Source organism: Homo sapiens, chromosome 21 (assembly GCF_000001405.40).
Source record: "Homo sapiens chromosome 21, GRCh38.p14 Primary Assembly".
Classification (NCBI taxonomy): Eukaryota; Metazoa; Chordata; class Mammalia; order Primates; family Hominidae; genus Homo; species Homo sapiens.
In genome coordinates this window covers 18,245,334-18,257,596 of record NC_000021.9, presented here as the reverse complement: position 1 = coordinate 18,257,596, position 12,263 = coordinate 18,245,334, and the positions used below count along the sequence as shown (strand labels likewise).

Genomic DNA, 12,263 nt, shown 5'->3' with positions numbered 1-12,263 from the left:
ACATGTCAAGTATTATACCATAAAATGATAAGCAAATGATCCAGGAGAAAGTGCTTTGTTCTCTTAAAGTCAGATAAAGAAGTGCTGCTCACATGTGTAAGTCTATAGGTGCTTTGGTAACTTACATCTACTTCCCACATATTATAGTAATGTTTAAAATATTTTAAAATATTTATTGTTTATAAAATCTATTTACAAAAATATTTGGTTTTATTGTAAGAAATGATTATTTTTTCTTAAAGACATCTCTCCAGCTGTTTTTATTTACTCTCTTCTTTGAGCTCATTGGACAGTTTGCTCTACAGCATATGATATGCTTCATTACACGAGTGATATGAGAAACTGCAAGGTAATTTTCTATTTCACAGCAGAAAAACAAAAAGAGCCACAGGTAGTCAAAATTAAAGACAAAACTTAATACAATTAAACATGCACAAAATCTTCTATACCTTCTTTTGCTACTGCTTACCTGGTTCATACTTGCAAATATAATTGTGCTTCATGTTACACCTGTCATCATTCCACTGGTAAAGGTAGGGACCCCCAAGGCCAGGATTGGCAGTTGGTTGGTGATACATCACAACACACTTTTCACTTCCGCAGGAAGGTTCATCTGTGTACCAGTTTCTGCAAACAGAGAGTAATAGGAACACTCAGATACATGCCTACTAAATGATTCTGCCTGTCCTACTCTGACATCCTCTACAGGTAACAGAGTCCTCCCTCTATCTTTGGAGTTCCCCAGAGCACCTGCCAACTGCTCAAGATCCATACTCACCGGTACTGGGAATTGCTTCCATCAGACCACTGGTAGAGATCTGGGCAGGCACCAGATGTTTGCCCATCTCCATTCCTCCAAAGCCCTATCCAGAAATCACCATCAGAAATCCCTGTCCCGGGTTTTGTCAGGTTTTGCAACATGCTCTCTATTAACTTCTGTTCTGCTTCATTCTCAAGGCTGAGGAGGACTCCTCCCTCACTCTCACAAGCCAGGCGTGCCTCCTGAAAGCTCACTCGGCTGGACAGTTCATGGAAGTAGGCCATTTTGTAGCAGGGATGCTTGAAGTCAGCAAAACACACCTTTTGGCCTGAAAAAAAAAAAAAGATGCCCATATATTGATAATCGGAACTCTATTTGTAACAACACTAAGAATCAAAATGTAAGAACCAGTCAAAGCAGAAAATACATTACCAGAAATGCTTCTCCCACTGAATTATTTCATAAAGTTTATTTTCTAGCCTATTGCTTGCAATTTGTAAAAGCAAATTTATTCCCTCGTAAACTTGCAACATAAACTTTTAAACCCAGTACTTCAAGCAAGGTTTGTAAGGGAAGTTATAACTCTTCTGGCTTAGATTTTATAAACCAATTAACAAAGCAAATGAAAATAGCTAAAGGAATTTCAGGAGTGTATAGTAAAGTGAGCTAAAACTTAATGAAAGAAGAATAACAATTCATAAAGCAAATTAATTATCAAAAACAAGTAATATATAATGAAACAATTTTATGTAAGGTGTTCTGAAGAAGATACAAAGTGGCAGATTTAAGGTATAAATATTTGCTTTCATTTTTTATACCCGAAACAAATCTATTAAAATTGAAAGTTAAAAGGGGACAGAATGAAGGTAATTGGTAGTAATAAACGATTAATTAATATAATATTACATTGGAAGTGACAAGATAGAGTTCTAAAGTACTCACTATCTCTGAAAAAATCTCATTACCAATTTTTTGAGTATTTTCTGGGGTCTTTGGGGAGATATTGTGTGTAAACTCCAATTCCTAGGCCAATGTCTTCTCTCATTTTACAGAGACATCTCTGATAAGTGATAAATTGCAAATTAAAATCTCCCAACTATGAACTTAAAGAATTAAGTACTTTTTTAAAAAAAGGAATATACTTTAAATGTGAAAAAAATGATGGCTTAGAGAACAGTGGAATGAATATATCATGAAATAAAAGAGCTAGTAAAATCTTATCAATGGTTGTTGTCAATTTCTTACAATTTGGATGGAGACCTGAGTAGGCTGAAATTTGGCCAAACTGGTCTTTCAAAGACAGTTAAATTATTAGCTCAAAACAATTAAGGTAATAAACATTTAGCAGACTTGAAAACAAATTATTTCTCTCAGCTTTAGAGGCTCTACTTATATATTAAACACATATGAAATAACAATGTCTTCCTCTAATTTAACCTTAGAAATGTTCCATTCATTCGTTTATGAGTTTGAAAGTAATAGTATTACATTTTTTAAACCTTCCCTAACTCAGAATTTTGTTAAACTTAAATACAAATTCATTTAAATTCACCTTTTTCTGTAGTTAATCTTACTACTGGTGGTTTTATTACATATTTCTTCAGGAATAAAGATTAGGACCAACCAAATATCTAAAATCTATAAATACATACATAGAATACTCTGAATTTGGAAGGGAAGTTTAAAATCTATTTTTTATCTTAAACCTGTATCTTAAAGGTTTTCATGTTACAGCATTCCATTTAACCACCTAACCACCTATCCTGACATCTATTGATTATGTACAGTCTATACTATACCCAATAAAGTCATTATTTGTAGTATACTGAAAATCAATTTATTTCAAGATATTGGCCAGAATCACAAACAAGCTTAAAAGAATTTTTGAGACGTCATAATGAAATTCTGCTCTAATAACATCTGTGAAGTCTTAAACACATAGGCAAAAAGAGTTTGAAAAAAAAATCTCAAAATTAAATTTCGCATACCTCTACATGTTAAGCAGTGCTAATTTTCCTAATTATCAAGTGAAATAACTGCAAATATGCATATCAGGTCATAATAAAGTCGTATATATTTATATTTACATATATATGCCAGATTAGATAGATAGATAGACAGACGATAAACAGATATAAATAGATTGATGTCAAGGATATTACGGTGTATAGGATTTAGCTAGTTCTATAAGCAATGGACTTTCTATTGTTCTATTGTCTACACTCACCCTTGTTTACCACTAAGAATGTATGGCAAGATTATAAACAATCTCCAGAATGGTCATTCTGTCTTGTTTTGATTTTCACTGCTTCTGCTTTTGTTCACCTCTGCTCTCTGCTGTCAACTTTTAAAACCGCCAAGGATCCCTCTCTGTTACTATTTCTTATGCCCAGACTGCTTTCCATAGTCCATAGCCTCTTCTACTTTCTGAGTCTTGCCCTATTTTAGCTTAGATTTGGACCTGGAAAATAGACTGTCAATTACTTTATGTAAAATTTAGACAAATTACTTTATGCTAAGAAATTAGGAAATAGTTTCTCTACTTTCTTACAATTCATCTCCATTAACATTATTCCTGTTGGTATTTATGGCCTTTTCTACTATGTATTTAATTGTGTAGCCTATCAATAAAAGTTGTCAGTAGTCAGGGATTTCTGGGGGTGGGGGAGATTCTTGTATTTAAATACTGGCAAAAAAAAAAAGCATTCAAACTTTGTACTTTAATTACAGTACATCACACTGAGCCAGTGTATCATATCCATTCCTTTCTGGAGTCAGCAGTTAATGACCTATGATGACACTCAGAGGGAGAAAGGCACAGAAATCAGTGGAAGGTCATTAACTTCTCAACAGTGTTTGAGTGATAGGCATTCAATATCTTGACACAAACTGAGAACAACCAATCATAAAATAGTAGTTCTGGCAATGCAAGCAAGCCAAGAGTTGTTCCCTCTGTTTCGTGACCGTGATCTGGACCCAGCAGCAACACACTAAAAAATCTGAACAAATTAACAGGCTGCCCAAATTGTTAATGAAAAAGAACATATTAGTATGAATGACCATGGGAAATAAGTTAGAGAAACTTCAGGAGGACAAATCAGCCTGAAAATAAATATTCTTTGAGAGATGATCATGAAAGTCCCAAATTAACAGAAAGCCCCAATGGTTGACTCTGAAAATTAATGTATTATTTTAAAATTTCTCCTAATATATTACTAAGTTTTGTGATGATTTCATCATTTAAAATGGTTGTTCTCAGTCAGAGCCTAACAATGCCATTAAGCTTGTATTTTCATGACTGTATTTAGAAGCATGCGGTTTCCATTTTCATCTACTACATCCTTTACATAGTTCTAAGTGTCCAAATATATCTTAATTACATTCCCTTGAGTTTTTAACTTGTTCGATTTTTCACTCCAAGAACTTTCTGCCTTGGATTTTATCCCAGCACTTTTGAAATATTAAATTTCCCTAAGAAGATTGTTTTGCAAGATGTCAAAAAATGTCATATTAAAAAAAAACAAAACAGAATAGCCAGACCTTTCAGTGAGTAAAAAGTTTGTTATATGTAACAAAGCCCCAAACATTCAGGGAATTCCTGGGTATGATGCATATGCTAAAAGTCACTGTTCATTATCCCTGATATATTAAAAAATAAATGCAGCACAGATTTACTCATGATGAGCATACAGAAATGGTGATGTAAATTAACTCATAAAATTAAGATAGTACTTCTAATTAAATGCATGAGAGCTTTAGGTTTCATGTGGAAATTTCTAACACCATTATGTTAGTTCATACAGATATAATAATAATGAAAGAAAAAAACCTAGGGAGAGAGATTATATTTAAAATAACTAACAATCAGTGCTGTCCAGACCCTGGACGATAGACAGCTTGACACTCTCTGTGCCAGGCTGTGTCTCTGGTTGTGGATAATAGAGCAGTCCTCCGGTCCTGCTTGAGGGAGTGGAGCTTGTGATGGCTGCACGGTCGGGAGACTCTCAGGGCATCAAGACAGCAGCCCACCGTCAACTGGAACAGATCTATTAACTCTAAAGTTTGATCATCAGCTGTGTCTACAGAGTTTGAACTGAAAAGTCACTAACAGTTCAGATCTAGCAAGGCAGTTTTCAGGAAATTATAAATATATTGCACAATTTTTATGGGTTTATATACAGTCAGTTAAAGCTGACACTGAATTTCTTTACATTCAATTCTATTTTATTACTGACTTCCACCTTATCGTGCAAATTTGGTCCAAGTTGCAGCAAAATCATCAGAAGCAGCAGCTATTGAACGTCTCACCACTCTTTCAGCTGATCACATTTGGCTACTAATGCAGTGAAACTCCAACAGCTGGGAAACAAATGTTGCCCTAATTCCCAGAAAAGTTTTGTTAATGCAGATCTTCTGGAAGCAACTTTCCCACTTCTGTAAAAGCCAATTTTCCTAGAGAACAATTACAATTACCTCTCGTCTCATTCTGTGAGATAACGTGGAGAATTTCTCTGTCTCTTATTTTCAAATGTTATGTTCAGATAAAATCTTCCATCAACATTTTATGGGATAGATAAGGATTCAGAGAACCATATAACGGGTTCTATTACACTAAGCTTACATTTATGCCGTCGAACTATAAATTACTAAATGTCAACTAGCATCTGCAATTGAAGACATCCTTTTACTGTGGGCTTATCTACAAGAGAGAGAAAAGATCTGCCCAGGATTCTACAAACATATTGAGAAAATAAAATTCAAGATAATTTCTCTACAAACATATTGAGAAAATAAAATCCAAGATAATTTATTTGCTAGATGTGCACTAGGAGCTAATTAATTTTTAAATCTAAAAAGTATTTAAATATGTAAGTTTTTCTGCACTGGATTTTTAAGCATTTATTTTAAGTTCATGGGTACATATGTAGGATGTGCAGGTTTATTACATAGGTAAATGTGTGTCATGGAGGTTTGTCGTATAGATTGCACTGAATTTTTACAGAAATATTTTATAGAATATTTCTTTTATATAAAAGAGGCTTCTTTATATAAAGTATATAAATATTTATTTTATATATTAAAATAAATAAATAAAATAAATAAAATAAATATTTATTTTATATATTAAAATAAATAAATAAAATATTTATTTTATATATTAAAATAAATAAATAAAATAAATATTTTATATATTAAAATAAATAAATAAAATAAATATTTTATATATTAAAATAAATAAATAAAATAAATATTTTATATATTAAAATAAATAAATAAAATAAATATTTATATATTAAAATAATAAATAAAATAAATATTTTATATATTAAAATAAATATTTATTTTATATATTAAAATAAATAATTAAAATAAATAAAATAAATATGTATTTTTATATATTAAAATAAATAAATAAAATAAATAAAATACATATTTTATATATTAAAACAAATAAAATACATTTATTTTATATAAAAGAAATATTCATCCTTATTAGTTTCACACACAGCTACATAAATAAACAGGCCCTTTTATTTAGAGAAAGTTATTATTATTAACACTCCTATCACTGTCACAACAAAGATTTCATCACTCTTTCCATGAATAAGTAGATGATTTTTGTCTTTTTCCTTAGCCATTAAAATTTCTATAGAGCTAACTATTGGCAGAGGTTTAAATGCTCTTGGCAATGATATAAAGTGGGGCCAAACTCATGAAGTCAGGGTAGTTTGCTTTTTCTTTCTGAGCAGAAAGGATCTATAATTTGGTTTTCTTTTTGCTTATATTTGTTTATTTTCTGATAGTTGAGTGCTCAGTTAGTTATGAAAATAATAAATATTTTCTAATATCTCACGCTATAATTATATATTATTAATATTAGATGAATATTGAATTTATATCACTTTTTCAATAAAAATATAAAAGACATATTACAAATTCCTGCTGTTCAATTATGATCTACCATTAGTTGCAAAAAAAAGTAAAAAAGAGCATCCACATGGTAAATATTCCCCAAACCAGACTGAATTAACTTAGAATGTTTTATTAGAATCACACAAGATATTTTTTTCTTTTTCATAATTTCTTCTTACCCCCCTCACAATCACACTGATAAATATGTTGATACTACCATACACAGTGCAGCAAGGACTGTGATACCAGTGCCAACACTTTTGAACTAAAAAGAAAATGACTGGTGTTCAAGTGTTCTGCGTTCAGCATTCAATGTTACACCAACTTCTTAAAATTTTTTCTTATAAAGAGTTTTATTATAATAAACTTTTATTTTTACAACAGAGATTTTATAATGTACTTAATTGCATAGTGCACTATAGCTGGAGTCTATTTTCTTACATTAATAAACAAATTTATTTATAATTTTATTTATAATTTTAAATTAAGTTTATAAATGTAGGTTGTGGTCATTTTCTGGATGGTGGCAGCAGCAGCAAGCCCTACTTTTCCAGTTGGAAAATGCGTAAGCTTTCTGAGAAGAGCATGAGACTATTTTTTTAAAAAATCAGAATATTTACAATGGAGATTAGAATAATAAGTAGTAAACCAAGTATCATTGTGACTTAAGAGTTCATGTAGCCAATCAAAATGAATTAGCTTTGAAACCAAACTCTACACTTGAACTTTGGGTACTTGAGATTATTTAATCACCCCTGGCCTCAGTCTTCTTACTTAAATAATGAGACCAGTTATGAGTTTTATAGAAGTAATGATTCTAATAATAAAAGCCTCAAATTTAGCAATAATTTAGAATGTAGCACCTCATTTCTACCACAATCCATGCTTTGGGATAAATTGGGAAAAGACGACCTCTCCTGGTGAGAGATGGCAGAAAGGTCCCTCTTATAGACTGTTCAACTAGAAAAAGTTGATTTTGCCTCTAGGTAGCTTGAGCTACAGGCACTGGGCTTGCCAAGCTGAGCTCCTTCTCCTGTCTCTTTGGCTTGTACCTCGACACAGTGCACAATCTGCATAACTGTGTTTGAACCTTTTTAATATTCCTAGCAATCCTATGACATAGGTGCTCTTATCTGTTTTCAAAATGAGGCAAAGAGGGCAGTTCACACAGCTCACAAGTGCTGAAGCTGGGTTGTGAAACCAGGCCATCTGGCTCTACACTCCATGCTTTTACCAGGTTTCTATGCTGTCTCCATATGTCTCAAACCTAATATAAAGGTGAAATATTTCATGAACAAAAGGGATTGATGAACACAAACACTGTGCATGTTATCTATGTCAGAATCATAAGCATTAATCTGTTATTGATTATTGGGTGGCTAATATAAGCAAGGCTTGTGCATTGAGAGCTTGTTTCTAAACAGAATTAGATTTTCTGTTACAAATATTTAAATAAGAATTAATGTTGCCTCTGTCTCAGATTTTCAAACCATATATGCCTTTAATAAATTTTTATCTAGTCTTTTTATTTTCCAAATAAAACAAACTAGATCCAAATTGAATGCATTCCACATTACAAAGAGTATAACTTTAGCCAAGTTGTCATCCTGTGTTATATCATGAGGAATATGTTAAAATAGTAAAAGAAACACTCTCATCCTAGAGTCGCACACATCCATCTACTTGTATATGAATTCCTGACACAGAAAGTTGTTGTAAATAGTAAAAATTGTTTGTGAGTGCATCTTCTGAATTTTAACCTTGGACTCCTTTATATATATATATATTATTATATATGTATTTTATTATATATATATTATTATATATATATATTTTATTATATATATATTATATATAGTAAATTATATATAATATATATAATATTATATATATTAATATTATGTATAATATATATTATATATAAATACATATATGTATAATATATATTTACATATATGTATATATTACATATATATGTATACATAATATATATGTATACATATATATGTATTATACATATATATGTATTATATTATAGGTACAATACATATATATACACATATACAATGTATATATACATACATATACAATATACATACATATATAATATACATACATATATACACACATATACATATATACACACATATATTATATATAACATATATACATATATATTATACATATATATTATATACATATATATGTATATATTATATACATATATATGTATATAATATATACATATATGTATTATACATATATATGTATATAATATATACATATATGTATTATATATATTATATATGTATTATACATATATTTTATATATATATATAAAATACATTACCTTTTATAAAGGTAATGTAACAGATACTGCCATCTTTGGGAAAGAGTTATAAAACAAAACCATAAAATGATGACAAACAGCAGTTGAAGAATAATGGCTATGATAAATGGTTAGTTCATTAAATGACTGGTAATAAGATTAATTTGTTCCTTTCATGCCCGAGAGATACTTAAAGTAATTGCATCTCTGAAAACTGCACTGTCATCATTTTATGCTTTTGATGATGTCATAGATTAGTTCCATAGGCTGAGAAAGGCTCAGCAGTTTTTCTTGTATCTCCCTTGGTATATATTATATCATATTGTATTAATGTATGTGCTACTGTTCACCACCCATGAATTTGCAATATTCTATGGTATCCACAGGATAAGAAGAGAGGCCTCTAAATCACCCAGTCTCCTAAATAAAACATGTGCCAGTTTTAATAAAGTTAAACTGATATATATTAAAGTGTCCTGGAGAAATCTGGAAGCACCATGAAATATTCCTAATGTCATTTTGCAGCAAAAATAGGTTGGGGATCACTGCTATGCACACTAGAAAGAAAAAAGGAAAAAAAAAAAAGAAACACATTACTTCAAAACACTTCAAATGTTTAAAAGTATCACTTGCTCTTCAAACATATCCTCCCAACTTAGAGACCTGAATTTGGAATCCTTCATATTTATCCTTATGCCTACAAGTAAAATCCTTTTACCTTTGTCCTAAAGAAGACATCACTACTCACCAGTCACTTCACAAAATTAAATGATTGCAGCTCCCATAGATATTCTCTACACATCTGTGTGTAGTAAGAAATCAGTACAGGTCTAAGCTCCTAAAGGTAGTTTCCAAATTAGCATCATAAATTCAATAAATAGGCTTTGATTACTATCATCATATCACATCTTGTTTTGCATATTCGTACATCAAAATAATCATGACCACTGACCTAGAAAAAATACTTTCTTATTACTACTAGATGCCACTAAATCTCATGGGTCAGATTACGATGACGAAGTTGTTTGAAATGTCATTTCTTGCTAAAATATATCCACTTTATTTTTAGGTAATGCTCTAAACTTTAGAAAAGGTGATGTATTTAAAAGTATTGGAAAGTACCTTATTGAATATTTTAAGGTATTAAATATAATTTATGTGGAGAATTATTTTGTGAGTGTCTATTTTTCTGCGGTCAGTGATTATTTGAGTATCCTACATAGAAATTATAAATTGTTGTACTGAAATTTAACAAATAGAAATATATTCCATACGTTGCAAGTATGTTCCTAATAACAGCCCCAAAGAGGCTCTTACTCTTCAATAAAGATTTGGTGAATGGTCCCAAGTGGCACGAAAAATTGATGCACCAATTCAAAACTTACATTGACCAGGTAGACAATAGATCCATTAGAAACTATTGCTACAAAAATGTCAGGCTTCAGGCTGCTCTGTTCTCTGGCCATTGTGGTCAAAATATATCTTTTTAAGAAATTAGTCTTCAAATAATAAAAGTCACAAATCAATTTATAGATGGTTAAATTTCAATGTGAATTTTATGACCAAAGACAATTGAATTATTCATAAGGAAAACATAACTAATTATTTTAATATCAAATAAACATCATCATTTATGCTAAATCAAATAGATCATGTTCAGTTAATTAGAAATTTTCCAGATGTCACCTACAAGATGCCTATAAATGCTTAATAAGAAAACCTAACAAAAGATTTGGAAAAAATTATGTACTCATAGAACGCAAAATACACCTCTTCAACAATTTTTTAAGCTCTGTTTTTACTTTAGATATTATTTTTCCTCCCTTTAAAATGTTGAGGCCTAGGAACAAGAGCATATCTAAAGGATATTATTTAGGTCAATGAGTAAAAAACATCTTATGTTCAAAGCATGGTCTCTGCTTTTCATTCAGTTGCATGAATAATTCTGATAAATACAAAGACAGATAAGTAATTCACAAAATCAGATGAGTCTATATAATGAATTTTTTCTTTGCAGCTAACTTAGGGAGGAAAAGGATCTAATGTCACAGATTCTGAAAATTCTGAAAAAAGTGTAGAGTGATCGGTAACTACACATGTAAGAACTATATTCTGAAGCTGTAGAACATCACAAATTGCTAAGGGGAAGATCAGTGACAATTAAGCTTAATATGCCAATGTCTAAAGGTCTGGCTTCACAGCTGAATTACTTGCTGTCATCTGTCATCTATTTCTACATCTAGTGACACCTGTTGTATAGGTGTACAAAAGTGAAAAGGGCTATTTGTGCTTTTTATGTTTTAAAAAAACTTTTCACCCTCAAAACACATATATCCAACAAATACTTATTGCAATGTTTCAATGAGCATAGTAAGAGATTTCAATAAAGTGTAGCTATGATCAGCCTTTATGTAAGGCCCTAAGCACATTCACCCTAGGTTGTCGAGAATCTGTATCCTTTTGAAGAGACCGTCCCAAAAAGTAAGGGAGAGTAATTGCAATATAAATCGCTCAACGACAGGACAGTGAGAGTCAAAAAAAGAAAAATCAAAGACAACCTGGGAAGCTTGCCAATTTTGATCGATTTCCCATGCACTGACTCGACCGACTTAATTGTGCACCTACTGTGTGCCGAACCTGCAGTCATTACCAAGTATACCTCGGCCCAACTCCAGCTGACTTCATTTTCTGGGAAGTCCCCAACTTGGAACGCAGTGTGCAAAGGAAAGGCATCTACACGCAATGACCACACTTCAGTTCCTTGCCAGTAGTCCTGCTGAGAACAAAGACCGAATGCCCAGGCATCCGGAGGCGACCCACAGCGAACTGATCTGGTCACAGAAAGCATCCGAGTGAACACGGTGCTGGGACCAAAGTCCAGTCAGAGCGACAGAGGGTGGCATTTCTGCGGTGGCTCTTCTGTCTCTGGGTTCCCTCTGCCTCCGCCCTACCCCACCCCTTTGGCAGGTGCTGAGCCCGGCCGTGTGGTCAACTCTCTCACAAAGAAAGTGGAAATCACTCCTGAAAAAGGCTATGCCGCTCGTAATGAAGCAGAGGCTCGCTCCGCAGCTACGTAAGCAAGCGCTTCACAAAAATTTAAACTTTTCTGCGTGTGTGTTAGAGAAGAGAGGGAGGAGAACAGCACAATCAATTTCTCCCCGCCTCCTCCCGGGTCCTTACACCATGCAGGTTTCCAACGCCCCGGAGAGCCTCCGCCCGAGAACAGGCTGCCCGCCGCGCCCCGTGGTCCCCTCTCCCCGC

The 12,263-nt window shown here is 32.2% G+C and overlaps 1 protein-coding gene across 9 annotated transcripts in view; it reads right to left on the bottom strand.

Annotated features, from left to right (window-relative positions):
• Positions 1 to 12,263, bottom strand: part of CHODL (chondrolectin) — a 350,031-nt gene that overhangs the window by 9,774 nt on the left and 327,994 nt on the right. For 7 of the 9 annotated variants that reach the window (NM_001204176.2, NM_001204178.2, NM_001204175.2 and 4 more), the window contains 2 exons: positions 779 to 1,088; positions 470 to 627 (listed from right to left, as the gene is read on the bottom strand). In NM_001204176.2, coding sequence (NP_001191105.1) covers positions 470 to 627; positions 779 to 1,044 — 424 coding nt within the window. In that variant the 5' untranslated portion in view covers positions 1,045 to 1,088. Of the gene's footprint in view, positions 1 to 469; positions 628 to 778; positions 1,089 to 11,627; positions 11,723 to 12,263 lie in introns of those variants that run through there. The other 2 variants (NM_001204174.2, XM_017028273.2) reach the window with 1 other exon arrangement.